Here is an 18,262-nt window from a genome sequence, read left to right on the forward strand (position 1 = left end):
TCACCCAGGCTGGAGTGCAGTGGTGTGATCTTGGCTCACTGCAGCCTCCGCCTCCGGGTTCAAGCCATTCTCCTGCCTCAGCCTCCCAAGTAGCTGGGATTACAGGTGTGTGCCACCACGCCCAGCTAATTTTTGTATTTTTAGTAGAGATGGGGTTTCACCATGTTGGCCAGGCTGGTCTCGAACTCCTGACCTCAGATGATCTGCCAGTCTCGGCCTCCCAAAATGCTGGGATTACAGGCGTGAGTCGCTACTAGATAAATTTCTTATCTAGCAAAGAAGTTTGCAAACATACGCAAAAGTAGAAAGATACAATGAGCCCCCAGGTGCCCATCACCCAGCCTCATTTCAATAGTCATCAACTTTCTGCAGCTTTTACTTCATCTATATCCTTTTCTGCCTCTTTTTTTTTTTTTTTATTTTGAGATAGGGTTTTGCTTTGTTGCCCAAGCTGGGGTGCAGTAGCATGATCTCATAGTTCACTGTGGCTTCAGACTCCTAGGCTCAAGTGATCCTCCCGCCTCGGCCTCCAAGCAGCTGGGACTACAGATGCGTGCCACCACACCCAGCTAAATTTCTTATTTTTATTTTCTATAGAGAAAGTCTCACTATACAGCCTGTGCTGGTCTCAAATTCCAGGCCTCAAGAGTTTCCATCCCAGCCTCCCAAAGTGCTGGGATTATAGGCGTGAGTCACTGCACCCTGCCCTGATATTTTTATTTTATCTATTGCTTTTTATTTACTTATTTATCTTTTATTTTTGAGACAGAGTCTCACTCTGTTGCCCATGCTGGAGTGCAGTGGCATCATCTCGGCTCACTGTAACCTCCGCCTCTTAGGTTCAAGCAGTTCTCCTGCCTTGACCTCCCGAGTAGCTGGAATTACAGGTGCCTGCCACCAAGCCTGGCTAATTTTTTTATTTGTAGTAGAGATGGGGTTTTGCCATGTTGACCAGGCTGGTCTCGAACTCCTGACCTCAGGTGATCTGCCCACCTTGGCCTCCCAAAGTGCTGAGATTACTGGTATGAGCCACCGTGCCTGGCCACCTATTGCTTTTTAAAGATTATTTTTTTATTATTATTATTTTTTTATTTGAGATGGAGTTTCGCTATTGTTGCCCAGGCTGGAGTGCAATGGCGTGATCTCAGCTCACCGCAACCTCCGCCTCCCAGGTTCAAGCGATTCTCCTGCCTCAGCATCCCTAGTAGCTGGGATTACAGGCATGCACCACCATGTCCAGCTAATTTTGTATTTTTAGTAGAGACGAGGTTTCTCCAGGTTGGTCAGGCTGGTCTCAAACTCCCAACCTCAGGTGATCCGCCCATCTCGGCCTCCCAAAGTGCTGGGATTACAGGTGTGAGCCACCGCGCCTGGCCTTAAAGATTATTTTAAGGCAAATTACAGAAAGCAATTTAATGCACATTTCTGAGAGTTAAAGATATTTTTGCCCTTGACATTTTATGAGGACAGTTTTCAAACATGCAGCAAAGTTGAGGGAATTGTACAAGGAACACCTTGTGCACTTCCTGGGTTCTCCCACTAGCACTTTGCTACACTGCTTTCTGACGTTTCTACACACCTGACCACCAGCTCAGGATTTATTTATTTATCTATTTATTTTGAGACAGAGTTTTGCTCTTGTTGCCCAGACTGGAGTGCAATGGTGTGATCTCGGCTCACGGCAACCTCCACCTCCTGGGTTCAAGTGATTCTTCTGCCTCAGCCTCCCAAATAGCCGGGATTACAGGCATGCGCCACCACGCGTGGCTAATTTTTGTGTTTTTAGTAGAGACGGGATTTCTCCATATTGGTCAAGCTGGCCTCAAACTCCCGACCTCATGTGATCTGCCTGCCTCTGCCTCCCAAAGTGCTGGGACTACAGGTGTGAGCCACTGCGCCTGGCCAATTTTTTTTTTTTTTAGACGAAGTCTCACTCTGTCACCCAACCTGGAGTGCAGTGGCATGATCTTGGCTCACTGCAGCCTCCACCTCCCAGGTTCAAGCGATTCTCCTGCCTCAGCCTCCTGAGTAACTGGGATTACCAGCGAGCGCCTGGTTAATTTTTGTTTTTTTAGTACAGATGGGGTTTCATCGTGTTGGCCAGGTGTGAGCCACCATGCCCAGACCAGTTCAGGACTTTTTAGGCATTTCCGAGTAAACGCACGTATCAGTTCATCAAAAAACTTAAGCAATGCATATATCATTAGCGAAAGCTTCTTTTTTAAAAAAAAAAATCCAAGATGTTAACACTTTATTGGCTTAAGTTCTATAGAGATAGCACAAAACAGAGAATAATAGAGAACTGAAAGATGAGATTGGAATCAGATCCTAACTTTGCCACCTCCTAGCTGGTCACACCTTGACTGAGGCTTTACCATCTTAAAGCCTTAATAAATTGATAAGATGTAAGAAATGTGGGCCAGGCACAGTGGCTCACACCTGTAACCCTTGTTGAGGGACCGAGGTGGGAGGATTGCTTGAGCCCAAGGGTTCAAGACCAGCCTGGCCAAAAGGGCAAGACTCTGATTCAAGGGAAAAAAAAAAAATCCAGAAAGAAATGTGAAAACTTTCAGAACTTCGTAGGAAATAAATATCTGCTAAGTTCTTCTTGGATTTAATATTATTACTATTTTTTATATGTCGGTGCACTTTGAAAAGGAATGAAGTTTAAGGTTTTCTTCTTTTAAAAGTAAGGCAATGGGGCCAGGTGCGGTGGCTCACGCCTTTAATCCCAGCACTTTGGGGAGGCTGAGGCAGGCAGATCACTTGAGGTCAGGAGTTCGAGAGCAGCCTGGACAACATGGTGAAACGCGGTCTTTACCAAAGATACAAAAACTAGCCAGGCATGATGGCAGGCACCTGTAATCCCAGCTACTCAGGAGGCTGAGACAGGAGAATTGCTTGAACCCAGCAGGCAGAGGTTGCAGTGAGCCAGGACTGTGCCACAGCACTCCAGCCTGGGTGACAGAGTAAGACTCCATCTCAAAAAAATAAAAAATTAAATTAAGGCAATGATTTGCATTCCTTTGCAGTCAAAATTCACATTCAGGGAAATCTGGAATCAGGTAGAAATACAAGCAGACCTATTTATTTAAAGAGGTGGGCTATAGCCGGGCATGGTGGCGGGCACCTGTAGTCCCAGCTACTTAGGAGGCTGAGGCAGGAGAATGGTGTGAACCCGGGAGGCAGAGCTTGCAGTGAGCCGAGATCACACCACTGCACTCCAGCCTAAGCGACAGAGTGAGACTCTGCCTCAAAAAAAAAATTTTTTTTTTTAAATAATAAAAAAAATAATAAAGAGGCGGGCTGGGCACGGTGGCTCACGCCTGTAATCCCAGCACTTTGGGAGGCTGAGGTGGGCGGATCACGAGGTCAGGAGATCGAGACCATCCTGGTTAACATGGTGAAACCCCGTCTCTACTAAAAATACAAAAAAGTAGCCAGGCGTGGTGGTGGGCGCCTGTAGTCCCAGCTACTGAGGCAGGAGAGTGGTGTGAACCCGGGAGGCAGAGCTTGCAGTGAGCTGAGATAGTGCCACTGCACTCCAGCCTGGGCGACAAGGCAAGACTCTGTCTCAAAAATAAATAAATAAATAAATACATAAATACATAAATAAATAAATAAAGAGGCATGTCGGCCTGGGCATGGTGGCTTATACCTATAATCTTAGCACTTTGGTAGGCTGAGGTAGGAGAATCGCTTGAGCCTAGGAGCTTGAGACCAGCCTGGACAATATAGTGAGACCCCATCTGTACAAAAAAGAAAACAAACAAACAAACAAAGGCACAGACTTTGCACTGTATCAATATAAAAGTTGACATCAGGATGATTTCAGTAGCAAGTAAAAAAATACAGAAACTCAAAATGGCTTAAACAATAAAGAAGAATTATTGGTCCCCAAAGTAAAAATGGAATCGGTGTGGTCTTCAAATAGTTTTCTGCGTGTGTTAAAATATACACATAATAATATTATTTTAACCATTTAGAAGTATACAATTTAGTAGCATTAAATATATTCGCAATGGGCCAGGCGTGGTGGCTCACGCCTGTAATCCCATCACTTTGGGAGGCCGAGACAGGCGGATCACCTGAGGTAGGGAGTTCGAGACCAGCCTGACCAACATAGAGAAACCCCCTCTCTACTAAAAATACAAAATTAGTCGAGCGTGGGGGTACATGCCTGTAATCCCAGCTACTCAGGAGGCTCAGGCAGGAGAATTGCTTGAACCCGGCAGGTGGAGGTTGCAGTGAGCAACCTGCACTCCAGCCTGGGCAACAAGAGTGAAACTCTGTCTCAAAAAAAAAACAAAAAAAATATTCACAATGTTGTATAACCATCACAACTATTTGTGCCCAAAATGTTTCCATTGTTTCCAACAAAAACTACCCATTAAATAATAACTCTGGCTGGGCGTGGTGGCTCACACCTGTAATCTCAGCACTTTGTGAGTCCAAGGCAGGCGGATCTCTTAAGCCCAAGAGTTCAAGACCAGCCTGGGCAACATAGGGAAACGCTATCTCTACAAAAAGTGAGACTGGTGTGGTGGTGCACACTTGTAGTCCCAGTTACTCAGGAGGCTGAGGTGGGAGGATCACCTGAGCCTGGGAGGACAAGGCTGCAGTGGGCTTTGATCACACCACTGCACCCCAGCCTGGGTGACAGAGTGAGCCCATCTCAAACAACAACAACAAAAAACACAATAACTCCCCATTAAAGTTTATTTTTTAAAAGTCAAAACTACAATACTCATTTTCACACCTATCACAACGAACAATTCTGTTATTCATTCATTGTATTCATAGTGATTCATAGTGTTCACATTTTCACATTTCTCTGATAGTCTCATAAATGTCCTTTTTTTTTTTTTTTGAGATGGAGTCTCGCTCTGTTGCCCAGGCTGGAGTGTAGTGGCATGATCTCGGCTCACTGCAACCTCCGCCTCCGGGGTTCAAGTGATTCTCCTGCCTTAGCCTCCCGAGCTCCCAAGTAGCTGAGACTACCAGTGTGCGCCACCACACCTGGCTAATTTTTGTATTTTTAGTAGAGATGGAGTTTCACCACGTTGGTCAGGCTGGCCTGGAACTCCTGATCTGCTAATTTGCCTGCCTTGGCCTCCCAACATGCTGGGATTACAGGTGTGAGCCACTGCACCTGGCCTGTCCTTTAAAAAAAAAAAAAAAAAAAGATAGGCTGGAGTGCAGTGGCACAATCTCTGCTCACTGCAACCTCTGCTTCCCAGGCTCAAGTGATCCTCTCGTCTCAGCCTCCTGAGTAGCTGCGATTATAGGCACACACCACCACACCTGGCTAATTTAAAAAAAAATTTTTTTTTTTTTGTAGAGATGGGATTTCATTATGTTTCACAGGCTGGCCTCAAACTCTTGGGCTCAAGCAATCCTCTCTCCTTGGCCTCCCAAAGTGCTGGAATATTAATGTCTTTTAAAATTGGTTTGTTCAAATCAGAATCTGAATTTTGTTTGAAATGTCTATTAAGTTTTTAAAATCTGTAACTGTTACCCATCCTTTTACATGCCATTAATTTCTTGAATCAACTGGGTCTTTGGCCCTGTGCAATTTTTCACATTCTGGATTAGGCTGGCAGCATCTTTGTGGTGCTGTTCAAGATGTCCTTCTGTTCCCAGGATCTCCTGTAAACTGGGAATTAGATCAGATTCAGGCTCATTCTGGCAAGAGATCCTCCCTGGAGGTGCTGGGCCACATCTTGTTGCATCACATTGCAAAATTGATGGTCCCATGTGTAGTGACGCTTAAAATTAACGTGTCCAGGTCCTGATCCCTCTGTTAGAAACTCTGCCAACCAGCCAGGTGCACAGTGACTCACGCCTGTAATCCCAGCACTTTGGAAGGCCGAGACGGGAGGATCTCTTGAGCCTAGGAGTGCAAAACCAGCCCAGATAACAAAGTGAGACACTGTCTCTACGAAAAACTTAAAAAATTAGCCAGTTATTGTGGCACACACCTGTGGTCCCAGCTACTTGGGAGGCTGAAGTGGGAGGATCACTTGAGCCTAGGAGGTCGAGGCTGCAGTGAGCTGTGTTCATGCCACTGCACTCCAGCCTGGGCAACAGAGGAAGAACGTATCAACCTTTCACTTGCCTTAGCAGAGGGATCCTTTAAAACTAGATCAGATGGTATCACTCCTGTTCATATCATAGTTAAAACAAAGACCAAAGTTTTTGCCAGGCCAAGGCTTGCCCTCACCCCAAGCCCACCTTCCCTCTACTCCTGCCCCCAACTGTTCCAGCCACAAACAGGCCTCCTCACAGTTCTTCACATGCCTGCCACACGCCTGCCTCTGGGCCTTTGCACTGGCTATTCCCTCCACCTGGAATGCTGTTCCCCACAGGGCTCACTTGCTAATTTACTTCAGATCTCAATCATAGCCTGAGAGAAGCCTTCCCCCATCATCCTCTCTAAAACAGCACCCACACCTCTCACTATCCCCTGCTTTCTTTTCCTTTTTCTTTTTTTGTTTTTGTTTGTTTGTTTGTTTGTTTGTTTTTTGAGATGGAGTTTTGCTCTGTCGCCCAGGTTGGAGTGCAATGAAGCGATCTTGGCTCAAAGCAACCTCCTCCATTGGGGTTCAAGTGATTCTCCTGCCTCAGCCTCCCAAGTAGCTGGGATTACAGGTGTGTACCACCACACCCAGATAATTTTGGGTTTTTAAAATTTTTTTTTTAAGACGGAATCCTGCTCTGTCACCCAGGCTGTAGTGCAGTGGCGTGATCTCGGCTCACTTCCTGCAACCTCTGCCTACTGCATTCAAGCAATTCTCCTGCCTCAGCCTCCCGAGTAGCTGGGACTACAGGTGCGCACCACCACACCAAGATAATTTTTGTATTTTTAGTAGAGACAGGGTTTCACCATGTTGGCCAGGCTGGTCTCAAACTCGTGACCTTGTGATCCGCCTGTCTCAGCCTCCCAAAGTGCTGGGATTACAGGCGTGAACCACAGTGCCTGACTAATTTTTGTATTTTTAGTAGAGATGGGTTTCACCATGTTGGCCAGGCTGGTCTCAAGCTCCTGACCTCAGGTGATCCGCCCACCTCGGCCTCCCAAAGTGCTGGGATTATAGGCATGAGCCACTGTGCCTGGCCCTTGCTTTATTTTTCTTCACTGCACATCTTGCAACATGATAAGTATTTATGTGAGTGTTATTTCTCTTCCCCTTTGAATGGAAACTCCAGTAGGATGTGGACTTGTCTTGCTCATTGTAGAAACCCCACCCCAGCACCACCTGTCCATCTTTTCTTTTCTTTTTTTTTTAGAGATAGGGTCTCACTCTGTCATCCAGACTGGAATGCATTGGCACCATCATAGCTTGTTGCAGCCTCAAACTCCTGGGCTCAAGCGATCCTCCTGCCTCAGTCTCCCCAAGTAGCCAAGACTATGTGTGCAAGAACACCTGGCTAATTAAAAAAATTTTTTGGAAGACACAGGGTCTGGCTATGTTGCCAGGCTGGTCTTAAACCCCTAGCCTCAAGCAACCCTCCAACCTGGGCCTCCTAAAGTGTGGGATTATAGGTGCGACCCACTGCACCCAGCCCCGAATCTTTTTCTCTTTTTTGGGGGGGGAGGGGGGATGGTCTCTGCTGTCACCCAGGCTGGAGTGCAGTGGCATAATCCTGGCTCACTGCAACCTCCACCTCCCAGGTTCAAGAGATTATCCTGCCTCAGCCTCCCAAGTAACTGGGACTACAGGTGCACACCACCATGCCTGGCTAATTTTTTTTGTATTTTTAGTAGAGATGGGGTTTTAAAATGTTGGCAAGGCTAGTCTCGCGCTCCTGACCTCAAATGATCCACCCACCCGGGCCTCCCAAAGTGCTGGGATTACAGATGTGAGCCACCAAGCCCGGCCCCCGTCTCATTTTTTAAAATGCATTTCAAAGTAAATTGCAGGCACATAGCAGGTGCTCAGCAAATAGTTCATATAGTTCATGAGTGAATGAATTCACAGGTTCAAGTAGGCCATCAACCAGCTGGGTCCACTGAGCCCTAGGGTGGGCAGGGGCCCCCCAACATATCTAAACAAGTGAACAGATCTTTGCACATATTTGCACCCCTCAAAAATGCCACAATAGGCCGAGCGTGGTGGCTCACACCTGTAATCCCAGAACTTTGGGAGGCCGAGGCAGGCACATCACCTGAGGTCAGGAGTTTGAGACCAGCCTGGCCAACATGGTGAAACCCCATTTCTACTATGAATACAAAAATTAGCCAGGCATTACGGTAGTTCCTGCAGTCCCAGCTACTCAGGAGGCTGAGGCAGGAGAATCTCTTGTACCTGGGAGTTGGAGTTTGCAGTGAGCCCGGATTGCGCCACTGCACTCCAGCCTGGGTGACAGCGAGAGACCATCTCCCCAACCAAAAAGAAAAAAAGAGATCGGGCTGGGTGCAGTGGATCACACAGTGGGTCACGCAGTGGGTCACGCCTATAATCCCATACTTTAGGAGGCCCAGGTGGAATGATTGGCCAGGCTTACCTCGTGATCCACTCGCCTCGGCCTCCCAAAGTGCTGGGATTACAGGCTTGAGCAGCCACGTCTGGCCCCTAAAACAGTTTTTTAAAATTAGCCAGGTGTGCTTGCACACATAGTCTTGGCTACTCGGGGAGGCTGAGGCAGGAGGGTCACATAAGCCCAGGAGTTTGAGGCTTCAGCAAGCTATGATGGCGCCACTGCATTCCAGTCTGGATGACAGAGCAAGAAGACAGAATGCTTGAACTGGGAAGTGGAGTTTGCAGTCTGCTAAGATACAGCCACCGCACTCCAGCCTGGGCGACAGAGTGAGACTCTGTCTCAAGAAAAAAAAAATGCCACAATAAGGAATTGTCCCCTTTATGGCAGGCCTTTTACAGGGCGGTGAAGATGCAGCAGTTCCCAAAATATACCCAGTCCCTTCCCCCGCAGAGCCCACAGGCCAGTGGGAGGAGACAGATGTGAGACACATAATCATGCCAATAAATATATAATGACAACCCAGGCAAAGTGTTGCCAAGGAAAGGGACAGCATGTTGGGAGTGAACAATATGAGGACCTAGATTGGGCTGGGGGGGCCAGGCAGTGATGCGATGGAGAAGGGATGATAGAGTTGGGGACAAAGTGCTGCAGGAGGTTGCTCCAAGTCCTCTGAGGGGGCTCTTTGGGTGAGAAAGCGAGAGAAGCCTGGGGAGGCGAGGGGAGGGTCACAGAAACATAAGGAGTTTAGGGTTCTGCTGAAAGGTTTGGGGCAGAGGTGGGAAAGGGTTTGGTTTGAGATTGGGAAGAAGCCTTCTGACTGTTGAGTGGGAGACAGGTTGGAAGGAGCAACAGAAGCCAGCAGCCCATGGCCGGGCACAGTGACCCACGCCTGTAATCCCAGCCCTTTGGGAGGCCGAGGCGGGCAGATCACGAGTTCAGGAGTTCCAGACCAGCCTGGCCAACATGGTGAAACCCCGTCTCTACCAAAAATACAAAAATTAACCTGGCATGGTGGTGCACACCTGTAATCCCAGCAACTCAGGAAGCTGAGGTGGGAGGATCACTTGAACCCAGGAGATGGAGGTTGCAGTGAGCCGAGATCGAGCCATTGCACTCCAGCCTGGGCAACAAAGCAAGACTGGGTCTCAAAAAAAAAAAAAAAAAAAAAGACACAGCCCAGGGAGACAACGGTGAAGGGCCCTAAGTGGCCAGTGACAAGGAGCTGGGAGCTTGCCCTGAGGGCAGCAGGAGGCCATGGGCAAGCAGAGAAGGGACAGGGTAGGATTTGACTTTCAGAAACAGTCCTCTGGTTGCTAAATGGGAGAAAGGAGTGACAGTAGAGGCAGGAGAAGGCAGGATCAGACGGGGGTGCTGGGAAGGGGCAGGTAGAAGAGACATCAGGAGGCCAAACAGATAGGACTTTATGATGCACCGTAGGTATACCAGTACCCAAACACAGGTGGCCAAGAGCAGAGGGATAGACGCCCAGCCTCCTCCTCACAGACATCCAGGCATGCAGAGCCCTCCACGTGCCAAACACACAGGGCCGAGGAATGGAAGTGCAGCAGAGCCGATACGCAGGCAGCAGATCTGCAATAACCAGGACACACAGTCCCACCAGAAGGAGAGAGCAGTGGAATGATCAGGGCTCACTGCAGCCTCGATCTCTTGGACTCAAGCGTTCCTCTCACTCCAGCCTCCCTAGTAGCTGGGACCACAGGCACACGCCATGATACCTGGTTAAGTTTTAATTTTTAAACTTCTTGTAGAGATGGGGGTCTCAGTGCATTGACCAGTCTGGTCTCGAACTCCTGGGCTCAAGCGATCCTCCCACCTTGGCCTCCCAAAGTGCTGGGATTACAGGAGTGAGTTACTGTGCCCGGCCAACAACTATTCTTATTCCCATTTTACAGATGGACAAACTGAGGCTCAGGAGGCCAGTCACTTGCCTGTAGCCCACAGTTAGTGGTAGCACTGGGATTCCAACTTGGGTCCCCTTCATGTCGCCTGTATTTGGTGTCCCATTTAGGCGTCCATGCAGGTTTTGGCGTGTCTGAAGATCTGTGTCTCCCCAAGTAAGTGTCCCCCATGGATGCCCACCCAGCCGTGTCCTCCTGTCTCTGAGGTTTCTCCAGGAATCGAGCTCCTGGCCTGGCTTGTCTGAGTGTGTCTGTGGGCCAGTAGCATGCCCCTGCCCGTCTGGGTCCCTCTGCGTGTCTCTGCTTGTCCTAGCCTGTGTGTGTCAGTGACGTCTAAGAGTGTGTGTGCGTGCGTGCGTGCGTGCGTGTGTGTGTGTGTGTGTGTGTCCTTGTCCGAGGAGCCGAGAGAGTGAGGGGGAATGAAGGGCCAAGGAGGCCTGGCTGGGGCTGGGCTGGGGGTGGAGGCGGGGAGAGGGGCGTCACGGCCTGAGCTGAGAGGGGAGTGGAGTTCTGGAGGAATGTTTACCAGACACAGAGCCCAGAGGGACAGCGCCCAGAGCCCGGATAGAGAGACACGGCCTCACTGGCTCAGGACAGGGGGCACAGCCACCAGGGTCCCCTTCCCCCTCCTCAGCTCCCTCCCTGGCCCCTTTAAGAAAGAGCTGATCCTCTCCTCTCTTGAGTTAACCCCTGATTGTCCAGGTGGCCCCTGGGCTCTGGCCCTGGTGGGCGGAGGCAAAGGGGGAGCCAGGGGCGGAGAAAGGGTTGCCCAAGTCTGGGAGTGAGGGAAGGAGGCAGGGGTGCTGAGAAGGCGGCTGCTGGGCAGAGCCGGTGGCAAGGGCCTCCCCTGCCGCTGTGCCAGGCAGGCAGTGCCAAATCCGGGGAGCCTGGAGCTGGGGGGAGGGCCGGGGACAGCCCGGCCCTGCCCCCTCCCCCGCTGGGAGCCCAACAACTTCTGAGGAAAGTTTGGCACCCATGGCGTGGCGGTGCCCCAGGATGGGCAGGGTCCCGCTGGCCTGGTGCTTGGCGCTGTGCGGCTGGGCGTGCATGGCCCCCAGGGGTGAGTGATGGGGGCTCCTTGGGGCAGGGATCCCCTCGGAGGGGCTGGGGCAGGGGTAGGAGGTGGGGGATGATGGCAGGTGTGGGGGGCCTGGGCTGGCTTAGGGAGTTTCCTTGGGACCACAGAAAAGGGACTTCAAGGGAGGGAGACACAGACTCAGAGACACCAAGTGCGGCAGAGGGAGAGAAAGACTGAGAGAGGAACTGAAGGGCAGGGGGGACAGAAGAGAGGACCCGGAGAGACAGACAGACAAGGAGAAGCTGAGGGCAGGGGTGGGGGCTGGACCTGAGAAGGGGGCCATGGGGAGAGGGGCTGAGCTGAGGGTCGCCAGGAAGGAAGAAATCTTTCCGAAGGGGCACCGAGTCAGGCAGTGGGATGAGGAGGGCTCTGGAGCCCTGGGGGAAAACGCTTCTCCCTGCCAACACCACCCCCCTGACCCGCCACTTGTCCCTACCCCACCAGTCCACTCCATCTCTGGGGAGGAGGCTCTCACTTTGTCTCTCTGTCTCTGCCTCCAGCTCTGCTATCTCTGTGGGTCTCTGTTTCTCTCTCTTTCACAGTCTCTGCCTTTATCTCTCCCTGCTCTCTGAGTCTCTCTCTCTCTTCTCAGCCTCCCTCTGTGACTGTATCCCCCCTCCGCCCCCACCTTTTCTTCTCTCTTGAGGGCTGTTTCTTCATTTTTTCTGTCTTGCCTTGTATCTGTGCTCCTCTCTGTCTCATCTCCCCTGCCTTTCTCTGGCTTCTCCCTCCGCCACCACCCTTATCTCCCCCCACCACCACCCTTATCTCTCTCCCCCAACCCCTGATTCTTCCCCTCCATCCACCAGCACCAGCGCGACCTGTTAAGTCTCTAGAGACCTAAGAGAGGACGGAGGGGGCAGGGGCTGGCCCTGCCAGGCAGTGCAGGGCGTGGGAGGCTGCCAGATCCCGAGCCTCCTTCCCGACGGGATGGACGCTAGATCCCAGTCCCTTGGGAGGGCTCCCGTCCTCCTCTCAGAGCCTCCGCCCTCCACCCCACTCTGAGGTCACTCTGCAACTATGTCGGCCTAAGGGCCTGGCGGGGTCCTGGCCGCCGGTGGGCAGGCAAGGACAGGGTGGAACTGAGGGCCGGAAGGAGCTGGGGGGTTCCTAAGCTAACTCTTCCCATCTCCCCTCCAGGCACGCAGGCTGAAGAAAGTCCCTTCGTGGGCAACCCAGGGAATATCACAGGTGCCCGGGGACTCACGGGCACCCTTCGGTGTCAGCTCCAGGTTCAGGGAGAGCCCCCCGAGGTACATTGGCTTCGGGATGGACAGATCCTGGAGCTCGCGGACAGCACCCAGACCCAGGTGCCCCTGGGTGAGGATGAACAGGATGACTGGATAGTGGTCAGCCAGCTCAGGTGTGTGGCCACATCCCCGAATCCCACTCCCACCTCCGTCACACAGAGGGCAGAAAGCCCACCTGGGTGGGAACCCCAGTTTGACCACTTGTCAGCCGTGCGGCTTTGAGCATGTGATGGAACCTCTAGGTTTCGTTTTCCTCTTCTGCAAAATGAGTTAATAATAGGACATACTTCGTGGTTGTCATGAGCTTCCAGACTGGACACCCTCTTTCCGTTCTGACAGACCCCCTCCCAGTGTCCAGCTCTGACCCTGAACCTCTCTGTCTCTCCTCTTGCCCTGTCAGAATCACCTCCCTGCAGCTTTCCGACACGGGACAGTACCAGTGTTTGGTGTTTCTGGGACATCAGACCTTCGTGTCCCAGCCTGGCTATGTTGGGCTGGAGGGTGAGCTCTGGGGTCAGGGGTCCTGAGGGGTCAGAGGACATGTGGCGCTCATAGGTTGTGGGAAGTCAGGAATCCTGAGGGGTCAAGGTCAAAGGGTGCTGGAGGATTCAGGATGAACCTAGCGTCATACAGCCTAAGAATGTCAGAGTTTTGGGTGGTCAAGAAGCTGGGAGTCCATATAAGTTATGGTGCCAAGGCTGGGGGATTATATGTTCTGGGTGAAAAGACTTCTTGGGGGTAGTTGGATGTCCTAGGCATCAGACACCATCAGGTCACAGGAGGCCATTCTGGTCTTCAGATAAGGCGTCAGAGGCACGCAACGTACCCCTGTCCCCACGACCCCAGCGGTCTCTTTTTTCTCATCCATAGAATGAGATGAGGATGAGCTGTCAGACATTCTGGAAGAGAGACATGAGGAGCTCAGCTATCGTGGGGGGTCTGACATGGGAGGAATCAGATATTGGGGTCACGTGTGTGTTGGGTATGGCTCAGGTGCCCTCGGGGATCAGATAAGGCAAGTCAATGACCCTGCAGGGTGGGTTTGCTGCCCAAAGCCTACAGCATCCTAGTGGTGAGTCAGGCATCTTGGGGCCTCAGAGGGACCCCAGCCTCTACCACTGCCCACCCCGCTAGGCTTGCCTTACTTCCTGGAGGAGCCCGAAGACAGGACTGTGGCCGCCAACACCCCCTTCAACCTGAGCTGCCAAGCTCAGGGACCCCCAGAGCCCGTGGACCTACTCTGGCTCCAGGATGCTGTCCCCCTGGCCACGGCTCCAGGTCACGGCCCCCAGCGCAGCCTGCATGTTCCAGGTGAGTCCGGGGATGTGGGTCAGCTCCGAATAGGGGGCCGGGCAGGGCTGAAGTCAGGAGCAAGGGAACATTGCTACCTCTGCGTGAGTGTCTGACTGTCCTTCTGTCCCTCACTGTCTGTCTCTCTCGTTTCTCCCTCTGAGTCTGTCTCTGCCTCTCTGTCTCTACCTATCTTATTTCTCTCCGTATGCCTTTTTCTGTCTCTTTCTGTCTCTTGGTGTGTGTGTCTTTCTGTCTCTCTTTGTATGTGTCTCTCTCTCTGTCTCTCTGCTTCTCTCTCCCTCCATTCACCCCGGCCTCTCTCTGAATAGAATTCTTTGTCCTGGGTTTCCTCTGAGCTGTTCCATGGCTCGAGTGCGTGTGGGCCTGGTGCCCCTTTGTCAGCCCTTGACCCAAGCAGGGCACCGGAATCAACCGTGCCCTCCTCTCCTCCGCCTCCCTCCACAACCGGCCCACCTCCTGCCCTAACAAGCCTGCTGGCCTCAGTCAAAGGGAGGATGTCCAGCCCGGTCCCCACTGGGGAGATGGAACCCAAAGAAGAGAGAGCAGGAAGAAAGTAGGAGACAGAGGCTGGGCGTGGTGGCTCACGCCTGTAATCCCAGCACTTTGGGAGGCTGAGGCGGGCGGATCACGAGGTCAGGAGATCAAGACCATCCTGGCTAACACGGTGAAACCCCATCTCTACTAAAAATACAAAAAATTAGCCGGGCGTGGTGGCGGGCGCCTGTAGTCCCAGCTACTCGGGAGGCTGAGGCAGGAGAATGGCAGGAACCCGAGAGGCGGAGCTTGCAGTGAGCCGAGATTGCGCCACTGCACTCCAGCCTGGGCGACAGGGCGAGACTCCATCTCAAAAGAAAAAAAAAAAAAAAGAAAGTGGGAGACAGAGAGAGATAGAATGACATACACTGGAAGGGACAGGCCACAGTGACCCAAGATGAACATAGACAGGACAGAGAGGCCGGGCATGGTGGCTCACGCCTGTAATCCCAGCACTTTGGGAGGCTGAGGCAGGTGGATCACTTGAGGCTGGGAGTTCGAGACCAGCCTGGCCAACATGACAAAACTCCATCTTTACCAAAAATACAAAAATTAGCCAGGCGTGGTGACGGGCATCTGTAGTCCCAGCTACTTGGGAGGCTGAGGCAGGAGAATCGCTTGAACCCGGGAGATGGAGGTTGCAGTGAGCCGAGATCACACCACTGCACTCCAGCCTGGGTGACAGAGCAAGACTCTGTCTCAAAACGAAAAACAAAACAAAATGAAAGACAGGACAGGGAAGTTGGAGTGACAGAAACCCTCTCCTTCTTGGGGACCATTCCCTTCTGCACCATGCAGACGAGGAAGGACCGAGCTCAGGGTTATGCAGTGGTCAGGGGCATCACTGGGGGACCCTGGATTCAGGGGGTTCTCCCTACTGAAGGAGGAAAGACAGAGGAGCAGATGGCAGAGGCTCTGTAAAGGAAGGAGGCTGCAGCCTGGAGGGCATCAGCTTCCCGCACTCCCAACCTGCTGCCTCTCTCTGCTGGAATGAGGAGGGGCCTTCTGACTGGGGGTCTCCAGGGTGGAGGGAGGAGCTCACATTCTCAGCATTCCTGGGACCCTGAGTTGCAAGGAAGACCTGGTGAGCATGCTGACCCCAGAGGAGTGACTCAGGCCCATGGCTCGAGTGGCTGAGTAGGGACCAGGGTTGGGGATCGGGCATGAGTCAGCCTGGCAGGTCCCATGAGAAGGGGAGGGGAGGGAGAGAAATGGGGGCTGCACAGGTGTGAGGATCTGTGCATGTCTGTGTGGTGGTGGTGGGGTGTCTGGATATCTGTGTGTTCTGGATCTGAGTGTTAGTGTATCCGTCAGCACAACCTCTGTGTGAGGGTGTGCCTTGGCGAGGGTGGACTTCTGTGGATGTCCCATGTGTGGTGTGTGTGTGTGTGTGTGTGACTAAATATATTTCCTTCAGCTTGGATTCTGTCCCAATATGTGTTTGGATCTTTATAGCATGTCTCTCTCTCTACGTTTCTTAGGGGTTGCCCGTGTGTGGGTGTCTGTGTGTGTGCGCATGATGGAGTGTACCAGTGTCAGCCTGTGTCTGTCCCTCTTTTTTGTGTTTGTGTGTTCACAGCTGGGACTCACTGTATGAAAGTAAAGTGTGCCTGGAGGGTAGTGGGTTTGGGGCTATGGTGCACACCTCTCTGTATGGAGGTGGTAGTGTCAGCCCACAGGTGTGCAGCTATGGGTGTGAGAGTGTCCTAGTGAGAGCTTGTGTTCCCTTGCAGAATCAGAACGTGTCCATGGATAACTTGTGTTTCTTACCACCTTTTTTCCCCCTTATTTTTTTTCAAGATAAGCTCCCGCTGTGTAACCCAGGCTGGAGTGCAGTACTGTGATCATGGCTCACTGTAGCCTCCACCTCCTGGGCTCAAGCAATCCTCCTACCTCAGCACCCTCCCACCCCTCAAGCAGCTGGGACTATAGGCATGTGCCACCATACCCAGATAGTTTTTGAATTTTTTGGTAGAGACAGAGTCTCGCCATGTTGCCCAGGCTGCTCTTGAACTCCTGGCCTCAAGTGATCCTCCCGCCTCGGCCTCCCAAAGTGTTGGGATTTACAGGCGTGAGCCACTGCTCTCAACCCTCAGCCTCTTACCAGCTTTCTGTGTGTGTCCATAGATGTCTCTGTGGCGTGTGTGTATATGTCACAGGGTAAGCATGTTGGTGTATGACTGTAGTCACAGACCTGTGTGTGTGTGTGTGTGTGTAACAGCACCCTCTGCTTCTCTCTGGTCTCCCTGTGTGTGCACTGGCCCCTGCTGCCTCTGAGTACATGACCTAAGGATGCTTACCAGTCAGCGTATAGATGTGTCTCTGTGTCAATCTATGTGTCCATGGCAGTGTCTCCATCCTTGTGTGTCTGCATCAGGCCTGCGCATCTACGAAACTGTGTTTTTTTGTTTTTTGGGGTTTTTGTTTTGAGACGGAGTCTCACTCTGTCACCCAAGCTGGAGTGCAGTGGCACGATCTTGGCTTACTGTAACTTCCGCCTCCGGGGTTCAAGGGATTCTCCTGCCTCAGCCTCCTGAGGAGCTGCGATTACAGGCACGCCTGGCTTATTTTTGTATTTTTAGTAAAGACAGGGTTTCATGACAGGTTTGTCATGTTGGCCAGGCTGGTCTCAAACTCCTGACCTCAAGTGATCCACCGGCCTCGGCCTCCCAAAGTACTGGGATTACAGGCGTGAGCCACCGCACCCAGCGCAAATGTGTTTTTGTATCAGTCTGTGTCTGGGTGAACATGAAACCTGGGCGCATCCAGCTCCATCTTATGGCGTAGATGGAGGCTTGGCTGTGAGGTGTACGCGTCGGTGTGTCTGTGTCTGAGCAGGTCAAAATGACCCTTCATTGTGTCCTGGTGTGTATCTATCTGTCCACCTCAACTCCATGTACGCTGTTACGTGGTGTGTGTCTCTGAATATACAGGGACATTTAAGTTTCTGTGTGTGTTGGCATCAGCCTAGATGTACATTGCGTCGCTAGGTGTTTGTAATCAATGTGTACATGTGTGACTGTGTGTTTATGTGTTTGTCCCACGTTGGCTTGTATGCATACATGTCTCTTTATGAATGTACATCAGTGTCAGCCCGCGTGTATATGTGTGAGTCACGGTGTTTTTGTGTCACTGTGTTTGTGACATCAGCCCTTGCATATCTGTGTGCCGTTAACTTACCAAGCGCTGCGTCTTCTGTGCTAATAACAGCCCCTGTGTGTTTAAGTGTGATTCATTGTGAGTGTGTGTGTGGGGGGGTTTGCTGTGTGAAGGAATTTCGTCCGTTTGTGTGCGTCTGTCCCTCTATCTGACTCAGGGCGTGCCCCTCCTCCTTCCATCCCTCTCATTCTCTGGAAAAGCTGGGGCGGAGAGCAGGGGTTGTGGGGGGATGGTCAGGACATCTGGAAAGCACATCTGGAATCGGCCTGCTCCTGTCGTCTTGCGGTAAAGCAAGAACCTTCTGGAGGGGAAGGGGTCCCAGTTCCTCCTGTCCCCTTCACTCAAGGTGCGGCCGTTGGGGCCTGGGAAGGGGGATCCCGGCTCTGGCTCCGCGCCCCCGAAGCCGGCCGGAAGCGCTGGGGTGGGGAGGTGCCCCCGGTGACTCACGCGGGGGCAGGAATGCTGCGGTCGGAACGGGACCCGGCTCCAGAACCCACCTCCAGCCCCAGGGCTTCTCCGGCCGG

The 18,262-nt window shown here is 52.0% G+C and overlaps 1 protein-coding gene across 2 annotated transcripts in view, besides 5 other annotated features; it reads left to right on the plus strand.

The window, feature by feature from the left end:
• Nucleotides 4,999-5,159: a silencer, noted in NCBI's record as "fragment chr19:41718918-41719078 (GRCh37/hg19 assembly coordinates)". NCBI's record gives its function as "represses an EF-1alpha promoter that drives an FKBP-Casp9 reporter gene in an ReSE screen in phorbol 12-myristate 13-acetate-treated (for megakaryocytic differentiation) K562 erythroleukemia cells {active_cell/tissue: K562(+PMA)}" and the evidence as "EXISTENCE:reporter gene assay evidence [ECO:0000049][PMID:32094911]".
• Nucleotides 10,350-11,174: an enhancer, noted in NCBI's record as "H3K27ac-H3K4me1 hESC enhancer chr19:41724269-41725093 (GRCh37/hg19 assembly coordinates)". NCBI's record gives its function as "activates a minimal SCP1, AML or CMV promoter by ChIP-STARR-seq in naive H9 embryonic stem cells {active_cell/tissue: H9 hESC(naive)}" and the evidence as "EXISTENCE:reporter gene assay evidence [ECO:0000049][PMID:30033119]".
• Nucleotides 10,783-10,922: a silencer, noted in NCBI's record as "fragment chr19:41724702-41724841 (GRCh37/hg19 assembly coordinates)". NCBI's record gives its function as "represses an EF-1alpha promoter that drives an FKBP-Casp9 reporter gene in an ReSE screen in K562 erythroleukemia cells {active_cell/tissue: K562}" and the evidence as "EXISTENCE:reporter gene assay evidence [ECO:0000049][PMID:32094911]".
• Nucleotides 11,209-18,262, plus strand: part of AXL (AXL receptor tyrosine kinase) — a 42,544-nt gene continuing 35,490 nt past the window's right edge. For both annotated transcript variants that reach the window (NM_021913.5, NM_001699.6), the window contains exons 1-4: nucleotides 11,209-11,463; nucleotides 12,622-12,844; nucleotides 13,132-13,232; nucleotides 13,866-14,042. In NM_021913.5, the coding sequence (NP_068713.2) occupies nucleotides 11,379-11,463; nucleotides 12,622-12,844; nucleotides 13,132-13,232; nucleotides 13,866-14,042 (586 nt within the window). In that variant the 5' untranslated portion in view covers nucleotides 11,209-11,378. The remainder of the gene's footprint in view (nucleotides 11,464-12,621; nucleotides 12,845-13,131; nucleotides 13,233-13,865; nucleotides 14,043-18,262) is intronic.
• Nucleotides 13,425-14,362: an enhancer, noted in NCBI's record as "H3K4me1 hESC enhancer chr19:41727344-41728281 (GRCh37/hg19 assembly coordinates)". NCBI's record gives its function as "activates a minimal SCP1, AML or CMV promoter by ChIP-STARR-seq in naive H9 embryonic stem cells {active_cell/tissue: H9 hESC(naive)}" and the evidence as "EXISTENCE:reporter gene assay evidence [ECO:0000049][PMID:30033119]".
• Nucleotides 16,237-17,172: an enhancer, noted in NCBI's record as "H3K27ac hESC enhancer chr19:41730156-41731091 (GRCh37/hg19 assembly coordinates)". NCBI's record gives its function as "activates a minimal SCP1, AML or CMV promoter by ChIP-STARR-seq in primed H9 embryonic stem cells {active_cell/tissue: H9 hESC(primed)}" and the evidence as "EXISTENCE:reporter gene assay evidence [ECO:0000049][PMID:30033119]".

Source organism: Homo sapiens, chromosome 19 (genome assembly GCF_000001405.40).
Source record: "Homo sapiens chromosome 19, GRCh38.p14 Primary Assembly".
Lineage (NCBI taxonomy): Eukaryota > Metazoa > Chordata > Mammalia > Primates > Hominidae > Homo > Homo sapiens.